Source organism: Homo sapiens, chromosome 15 (genome assembly GCF_000001405.40).
Source record: "Homo sapiens chromosome 15, GRCh38.p14 Primary Assembly".
NCBI lineage: Eukaryota > Metazoa > Chordata > Mammalia > Primates > Hominidae > Homo > Homo sapiens.
This window is the reverse complement of record NC_000015.10, coordinates 64,721,394-64,745,252: the sequence shown is the minus strand read 5'-3', so window position 1 is coordinate 64,745,252 and position 23,859 is coordinate 64,721,394. Positions and strand designations below refer to the sequence as shown.

At 50.9% G+C, this 23,859-nt stretch overlaps 1 protein-coding gene across 5 annotated transcripts in view, besides 4 other annotated features; it reads left to right on the top strand.

Moving 5' to 3' along the window:
• The window catches only part of RBPMS2 (RNA binding protein, mRNA processing factor 2), a 35,699-nt gene extending 30,337 nt beyond the window's left edge, over positions 1-5,362 (top strand). For all 5 annotated transcript variants that reach the window (NR_138350.2, NR_138363.2, NR_138364.2 and 2 more), the window contains exons 7-8: positions 4,011-4,080; positions 4,253-5,362. Coding sequence is in view for 2 of the 5 variants with exons in the window: in NM_194272.3 (NP_919248.1) it covers positions 4,011-4,073 (63 nt within the window). In the remaining 3 variants the exon portion in view is untranslated. The remainder of the gene's footprint in view (positions 1-4,010; positions 4,081-4,252) is intronic.
• Positions 2,172-2,673: an enhancer, noted in NCBI's record as "H3K4me1 hESC enhancer chr15:65034779-65035280 (GRCh37/hg19 assembly coordinates)". NCBI's record gives its function as "activates a minimal SCP1, AML or CMV promoter by ChIP-STARR-seq in naive H9 embryonic stem cells {active_cell/tissue: H9 hESC(naive)}" and the evidence as "EXISTENCE:reporter gene assay evidence [ECO:0000049][PMID:30033119]".
• Positions 8,116-9,095: an enhancer, noted in NCBI's record as "H3K27ac-H3K4me1 hESC enhancer chr15:65028357-65029336 (GRCh37/hg19 assembly coordinates)". NCBI's record gives its function as "activates a minimal SCP1, AML or CMV promoter by ChIP-STARR-seq in primed H9 embryonic stem cells {active_cell/tissue: H9 hESC(primed)}" and the evidence as "EXISTENCE:reporter gene assay evidence [ECO:0000049][PMID:30033119]".
• Positions 12,016-12,664: an enhancer, noted in NCBI's record as "H3K27ac-H3K4me1 hESC enhancer chr15:65024788-65025436 (GRCh37/hg19 assembly coordinates)". NCBI's record gives its function as "activates a minimal SCP1, AML or CMV promoter by ChIP-STARR-seq in primed H9 embryonic stem cells {active_cell/tissue: H9 hESC(primed)}" and the evidence as "EXISTENCE:reporter gene assay evidence [ECO:0000049][PMID:30033119]".
• Positions 12,665-13,312: an enhancer, noted in NCBI's record as "H3K27ac-H3K4me1 hESC enhancer chr15:65024140-65024787 (GRCh37/hg19 assembly coordinates)". NCBI's record gives its function as "activates a minimal SCP1, AML or CMV promoter by ChIP-STARR-seq in primed H9 embryonic stem cells {active_cell/tissue: H9 hESC(primed)}" and the evidence as "EXISTENCE:reporter gene assay evidence [ECO:0000049][PMID:30033119]".

Sequence of the window (23,859 nt, the reverse complement as noted above, 5' to 3'; positions counted from 1 at the left end):
CATCCAATCCCCAGAAAACCTGTACTTTTAATTCTTCAGTTCGATAGGTAGTTTGGAGCAGGTGTATAAGTAAATCTATAGGTATGAATCTTAGAAAAACTGCAATACATATTTAATCTTTTAAAAACTTAAATATTAGGGCCAGGCGCAGTGGCTCATGCCTGTAATCCCAGTACTTTGGGAGGCCGAGGTGGGCAGATTACCTGAGGTCAGGTGGTCAAGACCAGCCTGGCTAACACGGTGAAACCCCGTCTCTATAAAAATACAAAAATTAGCTGGGCGTGGTGGCGGGCACCTGTAACCCCAGCTACTCAGGAGGCTGAGGCAGGAGAATCGCTTGAACCCAGGAGGCAGAGGTTGCAGTGAGCCAAGATCGCGCCACTGCACTCTAGCCTGGGTGACAGAGCGAGACTCTGTCTCAAAAAAAAAAAAAAAAAAAAAAAAAAAAAAAAAACAAAACAAACCAAAAAAACTTAAATATTAGGACTTAAAATAAATAATAGTAAGTGTAGCTCTACATTTTGGATACCTGGCTAGTACACCATTGTACGAATGTGTCCAGCTCCCTGTAGATGGTAAATTGGTTTGTTTATACAGTTTTGCTTACTGATAGCTATACAACAATGGATATCCTTGTGTGTACTTCTGGGCACCTCTTCTGTTTTGTTTTCTTTCTTTCTTTTTTTTTTTTTTTGAGACAGAGTTTCACTCTTGTTGCCCAGGCTGGAGTGCAATGGTGTGATCTTAGCTCACCTCAACCTCCGCCTCCCAGGTTCAAGTGATTCTTCTGCCTCAGCCTCCCTAGTAGCTGGGATTACAGGCATGTACCACCACGCCCAGCTGATTTTGTATTTTTAGTAGAGATGGGGTTTCTCCGTGTTGGTCAGGCTGGTCTCGAACTCTCGACCTCAGGTGATCCGTCCGCCTCGGCCTCCCAAAGTGCTGGGATTACAGGCATGAGCCACCGCGCCCAGCCATTGTTTTGTTTTCTTTATGATAAATTCCTAGAACTATGACACGGTGAAAGTGTAGACTTACCAGTCTGGGTTAAATGTTTTAATTTCGGATAAGTGAGGCTTCCATATCTTTGGTTGTTTATATCTTTTTTTTTTCCTTTCTCTTTTTTTAGTTATTTTTATTTTTTTGAGACAGAGTCTCACTCCGTTGCCCAGGCTAGAGTGCAGTGGCATGACCTTTGCTCTTTGCAACCTCTGCCTCCTGGGCTCAAGCACGATCCTCCTGCCTCAGCCTCCCAAATTGCTGGGATTACAGGTGTGTGCTACCACGCCCAGCTAATTTTTGTATTTTTTTGCAGAGACGGGGTTTCGTAATGGTGGCCATGCTGGTCTCAAACTTCTGGGCTCAAGAGATCCGCCCACCTCTGCCTCCTAGAGTGCTGGGATTACAGGCGTGAGCTGTCACACCTGGCCTTATATTTATTCTTATGTAGGTTCATCCCGTTGCTTGCTTTCTGGTGTATCTTCTCAACTGGTCAGTCCCAGGATCTGAGAGACGGCTGAGTTTGCATCCTCCGCTCTTTGTTTTGAAGCAGCCCTCTCGGAACCTGGTCACTATAGCCTGTGGGGGGTACTCTCAGGAGCCCCCCCCCCCCTGGGCACAACTGGAGGCCCTGAAAGGACACTGCGGGTGCCCTGTCTTGCTGGCCTGGCCCCCTGGGGGTCTCCTGTAGCTGGAGCAGAAAGAAGAGCTCTAGGAAGGGATTGTGTGGCTTCTAGAGGACCCAGGCCACTGGCCTATGCCAGGCACCCGGAGGAAGCGGAAAAGCAGCCCTTCTAAATGCATTCCGTCTGCTTCAGTGGCACAGCTGTCCCAAGCCCAAATATGGGAGCTTTCCTCCACTTTCTCCCCAAGGAGTCCCTCAGGCTGGAGGGAAAGTCGCTGCTTGGGAAGCAGGAATCCCAGCACCTTGTAGCGAGAGTGTAGGGCAGGATCCAGCAGATATGCTGAGGGCGGCCTTAGGCAGTCATTCAAGGCCTTAGCTTCCCAGTGGTGAAAGAGGTTGGGTTGCAGGCCTCCTGAGCTCCTTCCATTCTGTCGTCCATGTTCTCCCCTTGTCCGGCCCTGCGGGACACCCAGCCCGTCCGGGATTTCCTTGCTGTGGGGCTGCCGGAGGCTACATGAAGGGCAGTGGTCAGGGCCCACTAAGGGGCTCCCTGAGCTGGTGCCAGCCGCCGGCTTCTCTGATAGCAGCATTGCTCGTTTCCTCGTGTGTCCCTCTCTTGTGGAATAAGTGCTAGTGTCCAGCCAGGTTTCTAACTTCCCGCTGAGCTCCTGGGATGTGGTGGCTGGAATTCTGCAGTGTACAAAACAGCACCTAGAATTTGGCGGGGATAGGAACGGGTTCTTAGGAAGCTTCCATCAGCCCCCAGACGGCCTGGCATGGCTTACCCAGGAAGCAGGAGTTCCCAGCAGCCAAGTGGGTAACTGGGTCTGCCTGCTCCAACCTCAAGGGAGCTGTCTGCAGGCCCAGCTTCTACTCCTTTCCTGCCACACGCTCATGTGCTGCCCCTTCCCTTCCTGAGGGGACTCCAGCTCCCCTCCCTGGATGCTCATCCCCCAACCGCAACTCAAGGTCCTGTGTTGTCCCGCTCCCCCCGCCACACCCCTTTCCCTGTCCTGGGTCAGGCTGGGACAGACATGCTTCACCGTGCATAACTGGGGCAGGCGGCCTTCCCTGCGGTCTTGGCAGTCAGCATACTTGCCTTCCAGATGACTGGCCCACAGGGAGGAGGGAACGTGCCATTTTCTTGACCAGTCTCTGGGAACCCAGCTTTGGGGCTACTGCTCTGTGGGGCCTTCTGGCAAGTGCCAGGGTTTAGGCAACTTCCAGGCACTGGTGAGGATGATCTCAGATAGCTGCCGCCCACCTGACGTTATAGACCTCTGGACTTAGAGGCTTGTGATGGAGGGCATGGCACAGCAGGGGTGGGAAGGTCAAAACGGGAGCCTCAGCTGGGTCTCATCCATGGCTTCTCAGAAGAATCAGGACTGATGTTGGAGAGTCCTACCCCTTGGGGTCTACACGGACTTTGGGTTTTGTTTTGTTTTTTGTTTTTGTTTTTGTTGGAGACGGAGTTTTGTTCTTGTTGCCCAGGCGGGAGTGCAATGGCGCGATCTCAACTCACTGCAACCTCCGCCTCCCGGGTTCGAGCGATTCTCCTTGCCTCAGCCTCCCGAGTAGCTGGGATTACAGGCATGCACCACTACGCCCGGCTAATTTGTATTTTTAGTAGAGATGGGGTTTCTCCATATTGGTCAGGCTGGTCTCGAACTCTGAACCTCAGGTGGTCCGCCCACCTCGGCCTCCGAAAGTGCTGGGATTACAGGCGTGAGCCGCTGCGCCCGGCCTTGTTTGGTTTTAATAGAGACATTATCTCCCTATGTTGCCCAGGCTGGTCTTGAACTCCTGAGCCCATGTGATCCTCCCACCTCAGCTTCCCAAAGTGTTGGGATTACAGGTGTGTGCCACTGCACCCGGCCTTACTGTATCTTTACATCCTGTCTTACCTGATCCTCACAACCACATATGACTTCGTCATTTCTGTCCTATAGCTAGATGAGAACACTGAGACCCAAAGAAGTCAAACAAAAATGTATGAGGCTCATTCTTTTCCTCCTCCTCCACAGAATTAGGAATTCCGTGCTGTGTCAGTAAAGGGGAAGGGCGGGTTGCTGGCACCACTGCCCCCAGCTGCCAGGGCTCCCACCAGTATAGTGGCCCATTTGGATTGGGCTGATTGGGGTATGAGACGCCTGCGTGACTTTCCTTCGCTGGAACCTGTGTCCTGCAGAGGAGGCACATCAGGCAGTGCACTCCCACTTGCCGGATAGAGAAACTGATGCTTAAAGGTGAGTAACTGGCCCAAAATGTGCCAGCCAATCAGTGACAGAACCAGGACTCCAGCGGGGACACCGATGGCCATGGTTACCTGGCTTCCTGTTGAGGGAAGGGATGCACAGCTGGCTCCTGACGTTGGCTTCTCTTGCAGGTGCGCTGGTACCCTTCCTCTGACACCACCCAGCAAGGATGGAAGTACCGTCAGTTCTGTTAGTTTTTCAGTAAGTGTTGGCCCCAGAGGCCCAGGACAAGTGTCCTAGACTCCGGCTCCCTGAAGGGCCGTAGTTCCTCCCTCTGCCCCGGGTCTCAAGAGCTTAGCCGAGCCCAGAGCAGGCCTGGCTTTAGCTCTAGTCCCACGCCTCTGCTCACGGCCGCCTCTCTCCCTCCCTCCAGGTCTGGTCACCGGGGAGGTGGTTCTGGTAATCTGTGGTGGTGCCGGGACAGGCGCCCCGAGTTCCCACTGCCCCCGGGCGGCCTGCACAGAGCTGCTGCCCTCCAGAGACTGTGAATCCCAAGCCTGACTCAGTGGACTGCTTCCTGTTCCCCTCCCTCCTCTTCCTCACCTTGTTCTGCACCCTCAAGCCTTTCTCCAATGCCTCCCAGGAGGATTTGGGGACTTTCTCCCTGGGGCGCCCAGATCCAGCTCGGAGGCCTCACTGGGACCTGGCAAGGCCTGACCTCCCGCCCAAACTTGCTTCTGTAGCTCCCCCTCGAGGAAGTGAGGTGTTTAATTTTGCATGTTTTCTGGCATGAATTAAGACACTTATACTTGTATATATGAGTGTACAGTTTGTTCTCACACTGTCACCATAGCGACAGGTCCTGGCTCCCAGTGGTTCATCCTGCCTGCCCCTCTCTCCTCGCCCCGCCCCTGCACCCACCCCGCTTCAGGGAGGCCCAAGTTCCGTGGCCCCACACGCTTCCAGGCTCAGCTCCCACCTCCACCCAACAGATAGATGGGGTTTGCTTTTTCATTTCACATGGGGCTCCTCCGCTCCTGCCTTCTCGGATGGGCCAACAGTCGTAAGAAAGCCCTCTCTGCCCGTTCTGTTCACCTCTCCACAGCGCACCCCGCCCGCCGCTGCTCCTCATTCTTTCCAAACCTCGAAACCAACCAAAACGTGAGAAGTATTTTTGTACCCTGTGTAACAAAATATTTATGCATCATAAAGGATTTTTCATGTGCGTACCATTAATTATTAAAGCGACCTCGTTCGCCCTGTCAGATAAGTTTAATGTTTAGTTTGAGGCATGAAGAAGAAAAGGGTTTCCATTCTTCAGCAGTACGCCTTTGTGTCTGGCATTTGTTTAAGAAAATGAAATGAAGGAAACACTGTGCAATGTTTTTTGTTTTGAGCATATCAGTGCTTTACTGTCAGCCGCAGCTGTGACCGTCTGGCCATTTCAGACTTGGGAGATGAGGCGGCTGTTGTCATTGCTGATCCTGTGAGAATGTGAAACTGGATAATATATGAAATGCAAAATAAAACAAAACCAAAATGACTGCTCTCGGCCTTTGCTTCCCCCTTCCGTGGACGCAGACTGCCATTGGGAAGGCAGAGCCAGAGAGATGTGGAGTCGGGGGAAGGAAGTGAAGTGGGCCTGGCCCGCTGGCAGCTGGCTTGTGACTGTAAAGGTGGTGGGGGAGGACCTTGGAGCTCACTTAGCCTCTCCTGCCTCCCTGGTTTGTAAGCTGGGGAAACAAAGTCCAGGGTAAGTGACTTGCCTAAGGGCCTGGCAGTTGTGGCTTTACTTCCTCAGTTTCCAGGCTGTCAGGGTAGGGAGAGACTCCCTACACCAAGAGCAGGCCCCCAGGTGGGACCTTCCTGGGGGAAGGCGGTGATATACTCGGCTTAACCATTTACGGCCTGTGGTCTTTTTGAGTCTCGCTCTGGTAAAAGAGGACTGAGGTTTGGGCTGTTGGGCTCTGCCAGGTGGTGTCTGTCCTTGGCGTGCCTCTTGTGAGGCTGTGCTGGAGGGAAGGCTAGGACCTGGAATCTTGCCCAGAAGGGGTTAACCTCATCCACCCTGTAGTCTATGGGCTGCAACTCTGATTCCTGGAGCGGGAGCAAATGGGTGTGAGGCTCAGGGAAGCTGTGCAGTGCCAAGAGCCCAGGCTGGCCTGGGCCAGGTGTCAGGATGCCCGTCATGACCCTCAGTCTTACCTTTTGTGACTTGGGGTCTCGGGTTCCTTGTCTGTGAAGAGGTTGCTTGAAATCCTTTCAGACTCTTACTGGAGGGCTGGTGTGCTGAACTCAGGGTTTAACTGTTTGTTTTTTCATCCACTCCTGGGAGAGCTGCTCTGCACCGCACCGCACCTCAGACCCAAAGCCGTGCCTGGAAAGGGAGGACAGCAGAGGCCCCGGAACCCCCCTCCCAATAGGTGTTGCTCCAGCCTTGCTCTAAGCAAAACTAAAGTGGCTGTGGCTGGCTCTGGTCACTTCCTCACTTGCACCTCAGGTCACCGCTCCCCGCCTTACCCCGTCTCCTGAATCCCAGTCCTGCACAGGTCGGCTTGGGTCTAAGATGTCAGTGCTGGTGAATGCGTCAGCTGGCGACCCAGGTGCTCTGAGGGAGGAGGAGGAGGAGCCTGGCCAGGACCAGGCCCTGCAGGTAACCCTGGGTGTCTGTGGGCGAGTTACCTGGACCTCAGAGGGTGGCTGTGTTCGTGCCCAGAGGAGTCCGGGGTTACTCGTCTCCCGCGCTGTGCCCCTTGCCTCGCTGCAGTATCGGACCAGCTGGCAAGGCCGCCCAGCCTTCAGCCCCTGCCTGTGCTGGTGGGAAAGCTGCTCTGTGTCCTATGGCCCCCACCCAGGGCCAAGCCGAGGGCTGACCTACTTCATCTGTGTCAAGAACCAGTGGGTCTTCCTGAGGTCGTGAATTATTTAGCGAAGGTGCCTGGGCCTTTCTGAGAGGGGCTAAGAAAGCTGCTCTATAATTTAAAGCCCCTGCGCCTGCGGCTTCCCTGGGGGGCCTCCTTCACGCTTTAGCGAGCAGGGCCCAGGCCTGGGTCTGAGTGGAGGAGGAGCCGGGGAAGGAGGAGCCCTGCAGCCATTCCAGAGGGCACTCTCAGCTGGACTGGGGGCTTTTCTCAGTGTAGGGCCTCTGCAGAAAGGCCTTAGTGAGCAGTCATGTTTAGACTGAACTTGGGTTAAGGAGCCTTCAGTAGATCAGGGCTTCCTGGCTGGGGTCAGAAGCACCTGTGTCCTGATTCCCTGTCCTGCTCTCTTTCCAGAAAGCAGCTCGTTATCCCCAGAGGTGTTGAGTCCTGATCACAGTTGAAAGTGTTCCTTCCCTTCTGAAAGGGAGTTAGGCATCTGGGAACCACCAGCATTCTTTCCCCCACTTCTCCCACCCACAGATGAGTCTCACTGTCGCCCAGGCTGGAGTGCAGTGGCCTGATTTCGGCTCACTGCAACCTCTGCCTCCTGGGTTCAAGCCATGCTCCTGCCTCAGCCTTCCAAGTAGCTGGGATTACAGGCATGCACCAGCACACTGGGCTAATTTTTGTATTTTTAGTAGAGATGGGGTTTCACCATGTTGGCTAGGCTGGTCTTGAACTCCTGGCCTCACGATCCGCCTGCCTTGGCCTCCCAAAGTGCTGGGATTACAGGCGTGAGCCACCATGCCCAGCCTCCACCAGGGTTCTTTTGGTGTGAGGTCCCTTCCCAGCAGCGATGAAATCCCCTCGTTGGCAGGAGAGGCTGTCTTTCCATGTAATCCCCTCCCTGCAAGCACACAAGTGAGGCCAGTACTAAACAGATGCTTGTGAGCCACTGGGAAGCCCCTGATGCCCCCCTGCCCTGGCCAGAGCCAGCTCTTCTCGCAACAGAGATGGTGCTTGTCACCCTGACTGAACCATCGTTGGGTGCTGCTGCCTAGCCAGCATTTTTCTTTTTCTTTTTTTTTTTTTTGGAGACAGGGTCTCTCTGTTACCCACGCTGGAGTACGGTGGTGTGATCATGGTTCACTGCAACCTCTGCCTTCTGGGCTCAGTTAAACCTCCCACCTTAGCCTCCAGAGTAGTAGCTGGGACCACAGGCACACACCACCATGCCTGGTTAATTTTTGTATTTTTTGTAGAGACCCGGGGGTTTCATCATGTTGGCCAGGCTGGTCTCGAACTCCTGGGCTCAAGTGATCCTCTTGCCTCGGCCTCCCAAAGTGTTGGGATTACAGGCATGAGCCACCATGCCCAGCCCTGGCCAGCGTTTTTAAGGGATGTGACTTATCTTGGAGCTTTCCCAGGCAGGTTCCTAGGTTCCAGGCTGTGTGGCCTGACATGATGCGTCCCTGGGGATCAGTACAAGGTAAGAGTGCAGGCCGCATGGGGTCCAGAGTTCTGGGACAGGGGTGGGAGCGGGGGTTGGGGGGTGATCCAGGCCTCCCTCCTGCCCACCGTTCCGCCCCACCCTGCCCTGCCCACACGTGCCCCGCAGAGCTCCATTTCCTGAGGTCTGGAATAAAGCCTTTGGATCTTGAGTTCTTTGTCAGAGGGCAAATATCCCTGAGAAACCAGGCTAAGTCCGTCAGAGGAGGGAAGTAGGGCAAGTGCCGGAAGGGGACTGAGAAAGGGAAAGGTGGAAAATGGGAGGATAAAGCCTCCTGCAAAGGTATCAGGAGGAGGGAGCAGAGCCGCCCCACTCAAGCTGCAGGCCTGCCCTGCCTCACATCCTCTGTGCCAGCCTCCACCCAGGTGGCCCTGCAGGAGTGCAGGCCCCACCCCAACACCTTCTCTCAGGCAGAAGAGGGGCTCCAGGAGCAAGGGGAGCAAGGCTGAATGGGATCACTGCCCTGGCAACTTTCCAGGGCAGCCAGGAGAGGGGCATGTGCTCCTGGTCCATTCCATACCCCGTCCCCCACCTCCTTGACCATCATCCCCTAGTTCCCTGGCCTCTGGTTGGGGTGAGGGAGCGGGAGCCTCTGCAAGAGTTTGGAGGGAGGTCAGGTGCCCTTGGCCATTATCTTCATGACCTTCCAGCCATCCCCTTAAATCTGTTCTTTTGAGAGGCCCTTCAAATGACCCCAGGAAACCAGGGTCAGACATTGGCATTGAGGATTGAGTCCACCCAGCTCTCCCATTCACAGATGGAGAAGGTGAAGCACAGAGGTGAGTAGTTTGCCCTAAAGCAAGCCCTTTTTTGTTATGGAGACAGTGACCAGTGCATGCTCCACTGGTGTCTCTGTCTTCCAGTCAGTCCAGCACCCCACAGGGCAGGCAGGCAGCAGACACCTCACCCCACAGGCTTGGAAGCCTCTCCCTGCAGTGCTAGAGCCATGGTTACAGCTCAGGGCTGCTGGCTGCAGACCTCTTCTTGGCATGCCATACTTTCTTGTCTTCTGTCTTGATCTAAATATGACCCCATCTTTCCCTGGGACACTGGGTCTTACTCCCTGATTAAAGGACAAAGAGAAGCCCTCAGTGACCCATCTAGCCTCAGCCTAGCATTGTGTAGTCTCTGGCCTTTAACCCAGTGATTAGGGTTGTTGGACGTGCAGGATTCATCTGGCTATCAGCTTATGCAAGAACAAAGATGGTGTATCTCCATTTCTGCCTGTAGTAGAGAATATGCAGCAGCTTAGTAGGAGGAGCCTAAGAGACAGGAATGGCTGTCTCATCCCAGAAAAGCCTGTGCCTTCCCTCGGAGTGTGTGTTTCTGTTTTTTTTTTTTGAGACAGAGTCTTGCTCTGTCGCCCAGGCTGGAGTGCGGTGGCGCGATCTCTGCTCACTGCAAGCTCCGCCTTCCAGGTTCACATCATTCTCCTGCCTCAGCCTCCCAAGTAGCTGGGACTACAGGTGCCTGCCACCAAGCCCAGCTAATTTTTTGTGTTTTTTAGTAGAGATGGGGTTTCACCATGTTAGCCAGGATGGTCTCCATCTCCTGACCTCATGATCCGCCCGCCTTGGCCCCCCAAAGTGCTGGGATTACAGGCGTGAGCCACCACGCCCGGCCAAGGAGTGTGTGTTTGTGACTCTGTTTCCTTCCCTCACAAGGTTATGAGCTTTAATGATGACACAATAACGTGCCTAACACATAGTAGGTACTCCCTAAATGTTTTCTATGCTTATCTTTTTTTTTTCCTTTTTTTTTTTTTTTTTTGAGATGGAGTCTCGCTCTGTCGCCCAGGCTGGAGTACAGTGGTGCAATCTTGGCTCACTGCAACCTCCACCTCCCAGGTTCAAGCGATTCTCCCTGCCTCAGCTTCCCAAGTAGCTGGGATTACAGGCGCCCACCACCACACCTGGCTACTTTTTATATTTTTAGTAGAGATGGGGTTCGCCATGTTGGTCAGGCTGGTCTCGAACTCCTGGACTCAAGTGATCTGCCTGCGTCAGCCTCCCAAAGTGCTGGGATTACAAGCGTGAACCACCACGCTTGGCCTGCAGTTATGTTAAAAAGATAATATTTCCTTCATCCTTAAGAAGCAGTGAAATTGAGTCGATTCCAATTGACGTACTCCTTGACTGTTTTTTCAATGGATCAGTAGTCATTGAAAGATTTTTAACCCCATGTTCTACCTGGGAGGAAGGTGAAAGAAGGACAGGGTGGGGCCCAGGAATCTAGGAGAACACACACAAAACCCTGGAGCTAGTAGTTTTTGGCACTGGATCTAACTGTAGCTTTTTTTTTTTTTTTTTTTTTTTGAGACAATCTCACTGTGTTCCCCAGGCTGGAGTGCAGGGCATCATCTCAGCTCACTGCAACCTCCACCTCAGCTGGGTGTGGTGGCACATGTCTGTAGTCCCAGCTACTTGGGAGGCGGAGGTAGGAGAATCGCTTGAAACTGGGAGGCAGAGGTTGCAGTGAGCTTGAGTAGCTAGGATTATAGGTGTGTGCCACCATGCCTGGCTGATTTTTGTATTTTCAGTAGAGACAGGGTTTCGCCATCTTGGCTGGGCTAGTCTTGAACTCCTGACCTCAGATCCACCTGCCTCAGCCTCCCAAAGTGCTGGGATTATAGGTGGACTTCTAACCTTTTTATCAAGCCATTTAGGGCTTCAAAGTTCTGACAGTAGTTGTATTCATACACTGCTTCAGAGTTTACAATACATACGTTTGCTATCGCCCATGATTGCCATAAAAAGCCTGCTGACATACATAAGAAAGGTGTTGGCCAGGCGTGGTGGCTCACGCCTGTAATACCAGCCCTTTGGGAGGCCAAGGCGGGCGGATTGCTGGAGGTCAGGAGTTCGAGACCAGCCTGGCCAACATGGTGAAACCCTGTCTATACTAAAAATACAAAAATTAGCCAGGTGTGGTAGCATGTACCTGTAATCCCAGATACTAGGGAGGCTGAGGCAGGAGAATCACTTGAACCTGGGAGGCGGAGGTTGCAGTGAGCTGAGACCATGCCACTGCACTCCAGCCTGGGCAACAGAGCAAGACTCAGTCTCAAAGAAAAAAAAAAAAGGAAAGTTTTACTTATCTTTTTTTTTCAGACAGAATCTCACCCTGCTGCCCAGGCTGGAGTGCAGTGACCCGATCTCAGCCCACTGTAACCTCAGCCTCCCAAGTAGCTGGGTCTACAGGCGTGCACCACCACACCTGGCTAGTTTTTGTATATTTTGTGGAGCTGGGGTTTCTCCATATTGCCCAAGCTGGTCTTGAACTCCTGAGCTCAAGCAATCTGTCCTTCTCAACCTACCAAAATGCTGGGATTATAGGTGTGAGCCACCATGCCCATCAATCATCTAATTTTACAGCTATGGAAACCAGAGTTAGAAAGGCTTCACCATGGCTAGGTGTGGTGGCTCACCCCTGTAATCCCAGCACTTAGGGAGGCCGAGGTGGACGGATCACCTGAGGTCAGAGTTCAAGACCAGCCTGGCCAACATGGTGAAACCCCATCTCTACTAAAAATACAAAAATTAGCCAGGTGCGGTGGCACATGTCTGTAGTCCCAGCTACTTGGGAGGCGGAGGCAGGACAATCGCTTGAAACTGGGAGGCAGAGGTTGCAGTGAGCCGAGATCATGCCACTGCACTCCATCCTGGGTGAGAGTGAGACTCCATCTCAAAAATAAATAGATAAATAATAAAAACCATCACATAGTAGCCTGGTTAAGAAATAGGCCGAAAACGCCTGGGCGTGGTGGCTCACGCCTGTAATCCTAGCACTTTGGGAGGCTGAGGTGGGTGGATCATGAGGTCAGAAGTTTGACACCAGCCTGGCCAAGATGGTGAAACCCCGTCTCTACTAAAAAATACAAAAACTAGCCAGGCGTGGTGGTGGGCACCTGTAATTCCAGCTACTCGGGAGGCTGAGGCAGGAGAATCGCTTGAACCCAGGAGGTGGAGTTTGCAGTGAGCCGAGATCATGCCACTGCACTCTAGCCTGGGCAACAGAGCAAGACTCCATCTCACAAGAAAAAAAAATGAAAAAGAAATAGGCTGAAAACAAAAATAAAAACCATCAAACAGAAAAACCCTGCAACCACTTGAATATGTGAGGGCAAATTGAGGTGAATTGAGTTTGTTCTCAATCACTTAACATTACCAAGTGGAATAAGAGAGAAGGAAAGAGCTAAGTCCATAGGCTGCTACAAGGTAGTCCTGCCCTGATCCTCGAAGCTGTCCTGGGAAGGCTGTTTGCGAAGGATCATTTCCATCCCATGGACAGGAAGTTCAAGTTCAGAAAGGTGCCAAGGTCATGTTTGATCATGATGAGCTGAGCCAGAGCCCTGAGCTCTGGTCTGCTGCCCTCAAGGGGGAAGGAGCACGCTGACTGACCTTTGCATCCTCTCTTGTCCAGTCATTCTTTCCAGCAAACATTTTTTGTGCCCCTGCCCTTTGCTGAGCCTGTGTTTGGTGCTGAGATGGAGGATAAGGCACAGTTTCTGTTCTCAGGTGATGCACAGCCTGGAGTGTGGGAGTCTGGGCTGTGGAGCTACTCAAGCAGGGAAAGCTGGGGGTTATTGGTTCTAAACTTCCGCTCCTCTCTTTCCCCGGAGGCTGGGCTGCTGCCCACCTTACCCACAGGTCCAGAGTACTGCTCTGGGTCCCATGGTATCGTGGTTCTGTGCTTGGCCTCGCAGAACTGCATGGGTGGTGTAAGAGCTGTGCACAGAGGAACATGCCTCATCTCCCACCTCAGGGTGACTGCAGCTTCCAGAGCAGGATACCCTCAGGCTCTGTCCCCTGCTGAAGGTGGTCTCTTAGATTAGAGGCTTCTCAGATGGGCCTGTGTCTCTTTCCAGACCCAGGTTCTCATTACTGAAAGCAGGAGTGTGCTTCCTAAAAACTAACTTGTGTCTCCAGAAAGACATGGAGGGAGAGGGGCTGGGGGGAGGGGCAGGGGTGGGAGGAGCAAAAGCCACTTCCTTTTGGAGCAGTGGCCTCCCCCAGGGTTCTCCCCCAAGGCCACACTCCCAAGTATCCATTCATATGCGCTTCCCCAGGGCCTACGCACTGAAATCTCTCCTGTCTACGGCCGCCAGGTGAATCGTGCCAAGACGCCGCTTTCACCGGTTAGAAGAACTTCATTCCGTGGTTCTCTACTGCATAGGGGCTGATGGCCAGTGTCACTCATTCAGGACACACCCCCACCTGGCTTCTGGCCCCTTCTTCCCTGTGATTGGAGACATTTGCTAACCACCGTCATCTCCCTTGTACTACAGAGCAGCTTTTTCCTCTCTACTAGATCGGGCATTGCCTTCCTCTTCAAGGTAATGGGAAACTGACCCCACCTGGGTCTCGTTCCATGTCCTGATGTACCTGTAGACATGCTCTGTGGCCCCAGCAAGTCCCTTTCTCTCTTTGGCCCCTCCTTCTCCTATGCTCACCTTTATTTACATCTCAGGCCCCTTGTCTTGGCCCAGTGGTGACCAAGGAGAAAGTTCTGCTCACCTAAGACTTAGCACTAGGCAGGTGCCTCTGGCACAGCCTCCTTCCTTTGGGAGCTGGCGGGACTGTGTGATCCTGGGGCGCCCTCTCGTGGTTGAAGATGCTCACAAACCTCGTCTGAAATCTCTCCTGTCTACGGCCGCCAGGTGAATCGTGCCAAGACGCCACTTTCACAGGTTAGAAGAACTTCATTCCATGGTTCTCTACCGCATAAGGGCTGATGGCCAGTGTCACGCATTCAGGACACGCCCCCACCTTTTTCCTTTTTCCCTTTTGCTCTTCCAGATTAACCTTTGCCTGGGGTCATTTATTGTGGACTCTATGGGCGCCTCTGTTCCCAGAGGCAGAGTCAGGCAGTTAGTCACTAACAAACACAAACACTCATGGAGAACCTCCTGCATTTGTGCATACTTGCATGCTAGTAGTCACTCTGCTGGCACTGGGGATACAAAAGTGAATATTGGGCCCAGAGAGATTTGATCCAATTGCCTCGGTTCACAGATGGAGAAGCTTCAGCCTTCAGAAGCAGAAAGATGTGCGGAGCTCATTTGGTTATGCGGGCTTGACACAAAACTCAGGTGTCCCGACTATCGTAGGAAATCAAGTCAGCTTCCATCTCACTGATTAAACCCCTGGATGTCAGCCGGGTGCAGTGGCTCATGCCTGTAATCCCAGCACTCTGGGAGGCTGAGGTGGGCGGATCACGAGGTCAGGAGATCGAGATCATCCTGGCTAACACGGTGAAACCCCGTCTCTACTAAAAAAAATACAAAAAATTATCCGGGCGTGGTGGCGGGCGCCTGTAGTCCCAGCTACTCGGGAGGCTGAGGCAGAAGAATGGCATGAACCCAGGAGGCGGAGCTTGCAGTGAGCCGAGATCGCGCCACTGCACTCCAGCCCTCCAGCCTGGGCAACAGAGTGAGACTCTGTCTCAAAAAATAAGAAAAGAAACCCCTGGATGTCATAGTAACAAAGTTGAGAACCCACTATTGATATTTTCAGGAATTACATTCCTAATTTCTCTCATGTCTGGGAGATTTTGCCCATTGGAATGGGTAAAATCCAGGGGATAGACCCCCCTGGAAACTCAAATTTGGGCTGTTCTCTCTCAGTGCGCTTTACTCAGGGGTCACTCCGTCGTCAGCACTGCCAGGCACTGTCTCGTCTGCAAACCTTGCTGGTGCCTGCACATACTGGACGTTCTTTCAGGGCATAGGTCATGCCATTGTCACTCACCAGCACAGTCCAGGGCCTTTGGTGATACCTAACACATGACTGGGAATGGCTACTTCATTTTTTTTTTTTGAGACAGGGTCTTGCTCTGTCACCCAGGCTGGAGTGCAGCAGTGCAGTCAGCTCACTGCAGCCTCCATCCTGGACTCAGGTGATCCTCCTGCCTCAGTCTCCCAAGTAGCTGGGACTACAGGTGTGCACCACCATGCCTGGCTAATTTTTTTTTTTTCTTTTTTCTTGAGACGGAGTTTCGCTTTTGTTGCTCAGGCTTGAGTTCAATGGTGCAATCTAGGCTCAATGCAACCTCCGCCTCTCGGGTTCAAGTGATTCTCCTGCCTCAGCCTCCCGAGTAGCTGGGATCACAGGTGCCTGCCATCACACCCGGCTGATTTTTGTATTTTTAGTAGAGATGGGGTTTCTCCATGTTGGTCAGGCTGGTCTCAAACTCCTGATCTCAGGTGATCTGCCCACCTCGGCCTCCCAAAGTGCTGGGATTACAGGCTTGAGCCACCACACCCGGCCATGCCTGGCTAATATTTTTAAACATTTTTTGTAGAGACAGGGTCTCACTATGGTGCCCAGGCTTGTCTCAAACTCCTGGGCTCAAGTGATCTGCCTGCCTCGTCCTCCCACAGTGCTGGGATTACAGGCAGGCAGTGACTTTCCTGTCCCTGCAGGTCTTCGAGTATACGCTGATGATGCTTAGTGGTGGTACTCGGGAAGCAATTCAAGCACTAGATGCCTGGTGGACCCCCGTCCTGATATATATATATATATAAAATGTTATCTATAATCTATATAATATACATATATAATACATACATAGCTGGGATTACAGATGCATGCCACCATGCCCGGCTGATTTTTGTATTTTCAGTAGAGACGGGGTTTTGCCATGTTGGCCAGGCTGGTCCCGAAATCCTGACCTCAGGTGATCCGCCCAACTCGGCTTCCGAAAGTGCTGGGATTACAGGCATGAACCACTGCGTTGGGCCCTGTCCTGATATTTTTTGACCCTGTTCTCCATCATGAAGTGCTGGACTTAGTCAAGAGTTGGAAACTCGCACTCTGCAGGAAGTGAGGAGACTGAGGGAGGCAGGCTGGGTGACTGGGTGACAGGAGAAGGGGGCAGTGGTTGCCCCTCAACCCCTGCCAGCTGCTGCTCAGCAAGGTGGGGACTCCATGTGGCTTCATGTTTTGATTTTTCAACAGAAACTGGACATTCAGATTTTAATGTGAAAAGTCCTGATTTTGGATGCCGACAACAAACCATATAAAGCCATTTCGTGCACTATACTATGGCCCATGTGCTTATTACTTTGCAACTTCAGGTCAAAGATTCCTAGTTTTCACTCTGTGCAGTAACTATAGGGAAAAAAACTGCCAAGTGCACAGTTACGCCCAACCCATAGGTATGACCCCTTCCTCTCCCTCCTTTGTTTTCTTCTTCTTTTTTTTTTTTTTTTTTTTTTTTTTTGGAGACGGAGTCTCACTCTGTCGCCCAGGCTGGAGGGCTGGAGTGCAGTGGCAGTGCAGTGGCAGGATCTCGGCTCACTGCAAGCTCCGTCTCCCGGGTTCACGCCATTGTCCTGCCTCAGCCTCCCGAGTAGCTGGGACTACAGGCGCCCGCCACCACACCCGGCTAATTTTTTTGTATTTTTACTAGAGACGGGGTTTCACTGTGTTTAGCCAGGATGGTCTCGATTTCCTGACCTTGTGATCCCCTTGGCCTCCCAAAGTGCTGGGATTACAGGCCGGAGCCACCGCGCTTGGCCATTTCCTTCTTTTGCTTCAGCCATCAAAGAGCCAGGCCCAAAGGCTGGGCTATCTGAGCATGTTGCCCTTACCCACATCCATCCCATCTCCCCTGAGGAAGAACCAGCTCTGGGCTTCCTTAGAACGCTGTATCTGCAATGCTCCCAGAGGCCACCAGAGGGCAGGGTAGAATGCCGAAAACTATTGGTTTGGGCTAGTGGACGGGCAGGGGTTGTGATCTCAGTCTGGCATCCAGGTTTGGAGGTTCAGGAAGGCAGCTAGGGTTGCTCCCTGAGGGTGCAGTGTGGCTCACCATTCCCAGACACACCTCCCAGTGGATGCCCATCACCTCATTTGTGGATCATAGGAGCAACTTTCTTTCTTTAAAAAAGAAAAACACCCAGGCTGGAGTGCAATGGTACTAGCCACCACCACCAGCTAATTAAAATAAAATTTTTGTAGAGATGGGGGTCTCACTGTGTTGCCCAGGCTGGTCCCAAACTCCTGGGTTCAAGCAATCTTCCTGCCCTCAGCCTTTGAAAGTACTGGATTACAGGCATGAGCCACTGTGCCTGGCCCATAGGAGCAACTTTCTGTCGGTACTTTCTGTCCTTAGCTGTTTTTCCCCAACACACACTGTCTCTCATGCCCCCCAACCACCCAGCAGTCACTGATATCAGGCTGGTCTGCCCCAGACCCACTCGCTACAGACCTTGTCAAGAGCCTTCAATAGCTCCTTGTTACATAAAGCTGGACCATCCAGTTTCTCAGAAGTGGAGTATTGGGATGCTGATCCCAGTTAGGTGAGTGGGAGTGAGCTGAAGAGGCTCTTATTTCCTTCATCTCAGTGTAATTGTAAGGGTAGGCCTTGCTGTTCCAACTTCATACATGAGGAGATGAAGCACGCGGAGAAAAGTGTCTGCCATCAAACTGAACTCAAATACTTTCTGAGTGTCCGTGTTTGATGGTGTAGGGGATACAAAAAACCTGAAGATAGGGTTCCCATCCTCAAAGAGACTATATAGCCTGTTAGGAAAACATGATACTCATCTAAAAAGATAACCAGCTCCCAGCAGCTTTCAAGTAGATAGTACAATAGCAACAGTGGGAACGTCAGAGAGTGGTCCCCGGATGTAGGGGTCAGGGAAGCCTTCAAAAAGGAAGTAGTGGTCTTCAAACTAGTATTTGCACCCCAAGAGGTACAAAAAGAATTTTCACTGTTTTTATTTTTATTTGTTTAATTTTTAAATTTTTATTTATTTACTTACTTTTTGAGATGGAGTCTTGCTCTGTAGCCCAGGCTGGAGTGCAGTGGTGCAATCTCGGCTCACTGCAACCTCTGCCTCCCAGGTTCAAGCAATTCGCTGCCTCAGGCCTCCCAAGTAGCTGAGATTACAGACATGTGCCACCACGCCCGGCTATTTTTGTATTTTTAGTAGAGACAGGGTTTCACCATGTTGGTCAGGCTGGTCTCAAACTCCTGACCTCAGGTGATCCACCCCCGTCGGCCTCCCAAAGTGCTGGGATAACAGGCATGAGCCACCTTGCCCAGCCTTAATTTTTGTATTTTTAGTAGAGACGGGATGTCACCGTGTTGACCAGACTGGTCTTGAACTCCGGGTCTCAAGTGATGCTCCCTCCTTGGCCTCCCAAAGTGTTGGGATTACAGGTGTGAGCCACTGTGCCTGGCTACAAAAAGAATTTTCTAAGGGCAGGTGGGCTTATGTTTAAGGGAATCAATTTCCAAAAAGTCTTTTTTTTTTTCTTTTTTTTTTTTCGACAGAGTCTCACTCTGTCACCCAGGCTGGAGTACAGTGGCTTGATTTTGGTTCACTGCAGCCTTGACTTTCCCGGCTCAGGCACTTCTCCCACCTCAGCCTCCCAAGTAGCTGGGACTATAGGCACGTGCCACCACACCTGGCTAATTTTGTTCATTTTTTGCAGAGGCAGGGTCTCACTATGTTGCCCAGGCTGGTCTCAAACCCCTGGACTCAAGTGATCCTCCTGCCTCAGCCTCCCAAGGTGCTGGGATTACAGGTGTGAGCCACTGTGCCCAGTGTCATCTTTAATAAGAACTATTTATGACTGAGATTGCCTGTCCTCCCTTCGTTTTTACAATTTCTTTTCTCTTACTTTACAAAAGAAATATGTAGGAAGCATGAGTGCTTCCCCTCTCTTTTTTCTGTTCTCTTCCCTCCGAGTGTTTTCCCACCTTTTAGAAGTTAGGCGTGGCCGTGTGACTTGCTTTGGACAGTGAACTATGAGCAAAAGTGTCTCTTCTGGGTAGAAGCATTTACGAGCCAGTATGTGATTCTCCTTCTTACCTTCTCTCTGCCATGGTGACTGATGACATTTTAGCTGGTAGAGTCTGGATCTCTGAGTGATGATGGTATGGATCAGAACCTCAACCAACTTGTGATGGACATTAGAGTGTTGGGGAAGATGGGGAGGAACCTTTGTTGGCTTAAGCAACATAGATTTTGATGTTGGTTGTTATTATAGCATAATTTAGTGGATATGCTACAAAGGACATATATGTCTCACCCATCCTATATCTTTTTTTTTCTGAGATGGAGTCTTGCTCTGTCACCTGGGCTGGAGTGCAATGGCACGATCTCAGCTCACTGCAACCTCCGCCTCCCGGGTTCAAGTGATGCTCCTGCCTCAGCCTCCTGAGTAGCTGTGATTACAGGCATGTGCCACCACGCCTGGCTAATTTTTGTATTTTTAGTAGAGAGGAGTTTTGACATGTTGGCCAGGCTGGTCTCGAACTCCTGACCTCAGGTGATCTGCCCACCTCGGCCTCCCAAAGTGCTGGGATTACAGGCTTTTTTTTGTTTTTTTTTTGAGACAAGTTCTCACCCTGTTGCCCAGACTGGAGTGCAGTGGTGAGATCATGGCTCACTGAAGCCTCGACCTCTCAGGCTCAAGTGATCCTCCCACCTCAACTGCCTGAATAGATGGGATTACAGGCATGTGCCATCACATCTGCCTAATTTTTGTATTTTTATTTTTATTTACTTGTTTATTTTTTTGAGAGAGTCACCCTCTGTCACCCAGGCTGAAGTGCAGTGGCACGATCTCGGCTCACTGCAACCTCTGCCTCCTGGGTTCCAGTGATTCTCCCTCACTCTCCCGAGTAGCTGGGATTAAGGTGCACGCCACCACACCGGGTTAATTTTTTTTTTTTTTTTTTTTGAGATGGAGTCTTGCTCTGTCGCCCAGGCTGGAGTGCAGTGGTTGGGATTACAGGTGCGCACCACCACACCTGGCTATTTTTTTTTTTTTTTTTTTTTTTGAGACATAGTCTCGCTCTGTCACCCAGGCTGGAGTGCAGTGGCTCGATCTCGGCTCACTGCAACCTCCGCCTCCTGGGTTCAAGTGATTCTCCTGCCTCGGCCTCCTGAGTAGCTGGGACTACAGGTGCAAGCCACCATGCCCAGATAATTTTTGTGTTTTTAGTAGAGACGGGGTTTCACCATGTTGGTCAGGCTGTTCTGGAACTCCTGACCTTGTGATCTGCCCGCCTCGACCTCTCAAAGTGCTGGGATTACAGGCATGAGCCACCGCACCTGGCCTAATTTTTTGTGTTTTTAGTAGAGACGGTGTTTTGCTATGTTGGCCAGGCTGGTCTTAGACCTCTTGCCTGAAGTGATCCTCCCGCCTCAGCCTCCCAAAGTGTGGGATTACAGGTGTGAGCCATCGTGCCTGGCTAATTTTTGTATTTTTAGTAGAGATGGGGTTTTGCCATGTTGCTCCGGTTGGTCTCAAACTCCTGGGCTTAAGTGATCCACCTACCTCAGCCTCCCAAAGTGCTAGGATTATAGGCATGAGCCATCATGCCTGGCCCTTCATCCTAGATCTTAGGAGATCTAGTATGTTGTTGATCTGGTATTTGGTATGTTGGAGATCTGGTATTTGGTATGTTGGGAGATCTTGTATTTGGTATGTTGGGAGAGCTGGTATTTGGTATGTTAGGTGATCTGGTATTTGGTATGTTGGAGATCTGGTATTTGGTATGTTGGAGATCTGGTATTTGGTATGTTGGTGATCTGGTATTCGGTATGTTGGGAGATCTGGTATTTGGTTTGTTGGTGATCTGGTATTTGGTTTGTTGGTTGATCTGATATTTGGTATGTTGGGAGATCTGGTATTTGGTATGCTAGGTGATCTGGTATTTAGTATGTTGGAGATCTGGTATTTGGTATGTTGGAGATCTGGTATTTGGTATGTTGGAGATCTGGTATTTGGTATGTTGGTGATCTGGTATTTGGTATGTTGGTGATCTGGTATTTGGTATGTTGGGAGATCTGGTATTTGGTTTGTTGGTGATCTGGTATTTGGTTTGTTGGTTGATCTGATGTTTGGTATGTTGGGAGATCTGGTATTTGGTATATTGTCTTGATGTGTAAAAATCTCTGGGAATTCAAACAGAAACAGTTTGAAATAGTGATTTCAATATTGAGAAAGTGAATGACTCAAATGACTGTATTATAGATCCTTTCTACAAACTAAAGCTTTCCCAATATTTTGCTTTTGAATGGAAGGACCTGAAACAAATTTTGTTGTCATCTGCTTGATGATTAGGTGGTATTGAGTGACTCTGCTAGAACTTCTTCCTTTCCCAGGTACTTATGTGAATAAGATACCTCAGCATTACCATGTGTGAGATTGAAACGTTGAAATAAAATTGAGCCTAGCCAGGTGTGGCGGTATGTACCTGTAGTCCCAGCTACTCAGGAGACTGAGGCAGGAGGATCACTTGAGCCTAGAAGTTTGAGGCTGCAGTGAACTACGATCATGCCTGTGAATAGCTACTGCACTCCAGCCTGGGCAACACAGTCAGACTGTCTCAAAAAAAAAAAAAAAAAAAAAAGACAACAATAACAACGAAAACACAGCCTAAGCATAATGGCTCATACCTGTAATCCCAGCACTTTGAGAGGCCAAGGCTTGAGCCCAGGAGACCAGCCTGGGCAACAAAGTGAGTCCCTGTCTCTACAAAAAATTAGTTGAGCATGGTCATGCACACCTGTATTCCCATGTACGTGGGAGGCTGAGGCAGGAGACTGCCTGAGCCCAAGAGGTCGAGGCTGCAGTGAACCACATTTGCACCACTGCACTCCAGCCTAGGCAACAGAGCAAGACTCTGTCTCAGAAAAACAACCAACCAGCCAACAAAAACATTGATGCTTATCACTGTCTCACTCTAGCATGAGAACATCTCTCTCAATATAAGTTGTATTTCCTATACAATTTTGTGTCTTATATTTAAGAATTCTTGGCCGGGTGCAGTTGCTCACGCCTGTAATCCTAGCTAGCACTTTGGGAGTCTGAGGTGGGTGGATCACCTGAGGTCAGGAGTTTGAGACTAGCCTGACCAACATGGAGAAACCCTGTCTCTACTAATAATACAAAAATTAGCTGGGCGTGGTGGTGCATGCCTATAATCCCAGCTACTCGGGAGGCTGAGGCAGGAGAATCGCTGGAACCCGGGAGGCAGAGCTTGCGGTGAGCTGATATCGCGCCACTGCACTCCAGTCTGGGCAACAAGAGTGAAACTCCATCTTGGGGGAAAAAAAAAATGCTGGGCGCAGTGGCTCACGCCTATAATCCCAGCACTTTGGGAGGCTGAGGTGGGTGGATCACCTGAGGTCAGGTGTTCAAGATCTGCCTGGCCAACATGGTGAAACCCTGTCTCTGCTCAAAATTCAAAAATTAGCTGGGCGTGGTGGCAGGCACCTATAATCCCAGCTACTGGGGAGGCTGAGGCTGGAGAATCGCTTGAACCCGGGAGGCGGAGATTGCTGTAAGCTGAGATTGTGCCATTGCACTCCAGCCTGGGCTGGGCAACACAGCAAGACTGCATCTCAAAAAAAAAAAAAAAAAAAAAAAAGGGATAAAGTACATATTGTATTAGGAAAGCATTATGTGAGAGAAGTAAAAAGAAAATACAAGTTCAAGGAGAAAAAGGAGTGATGTAAAATTTCCTGTGCTAAAGAACAGCTTACTTTTTCTTTTTTTCTTTCTTTCTTTTTTTTTTTTTTTTGAGAGGGAGTCTCACTCTGTCGCCCAGGCTAGAGTGCAGTGGCATGATCTTGGCTCACTGCAACTTCCGACACCTGGGTTCAAGCGATTCTCTTGCCTCAGCCTCCCAAGCAGCTGGGATTACATGCACACGCCACCACGCCTGGCTATTTTTTGTATTTTTAGTAGAGACAGGGTTTCACCATGTTGGCCAGGCTGGTCTCAAACTCCTGACCTCAAGTGATCCGCCCGCCTCTGCCTCTCAAAGCGCTGGGATTACAGGCGTGAGCCACTGCACCTGGCCTCTTTTTCTTTCTTTTTTTTGAGACAGAGTCTCACTCTGTCACCCAGGCTGGAGTGCACTGGGTTGATCTCAACTCACTGCAATCTCTGCCTCCGAGGTTCAAGCAATTCTAATGCCTCAGCCTCCTGAGTTGTTGGGATTACAGGTACGCATCACCATGCCCGGCTAATTTTTGTACTTTTAGTAGAGATGGGGTTTTGCTTTGTTGGCCAGGCTGGACTCAAACTCCTGGCCTCAAGCAATCTGCCCACTGCCTCGGCCTCCCATAGTGCTGGGATTACAGGCATGAGTCACTGTGTCCAGCTTCAATATTTCTAATACAAAAAAAAATTGCAAAGAAATCACATCCTTCGAAACTGTTTTTATATTTTTTTGTAGAGACAGGGTCTCAGTCTATCACTCAGGCTGGAATGCAGTGGTATGATCATTATTCACTGTAACCTTGAGCACCTGGCCTCAAGCAATCCTCCCACCATAGCCTCCCAAAGTGCTTGGATTACAGATATGTCCCACTGTGCCCAGCCTTTTGCAACTATTTAAACATGGTTAAAATTTTTTTTAAATCAAATTTTAAAATTTCCCCTTTTTTTTTTTTTTTGAGACAGAGTTTTGCTCTTGTCTCCCAGGTTGGAGTGCAATGGTGTGATCCCTACTCACTGCAACCTCCGCCTCCTGGGTTCAAGCGATTCTTTGGCCTCACCCTCCCGAGTAGCTGGGATTACAGGCACCTGCCACCACGCCCGGCTAATTTTTGTATTTATAGTAGAGACGGGGTTTCACCATGTTGTCCAGGCTGGTCTTGAACTCCTGACCTCAGGTGATCCACCCACCTCGGCC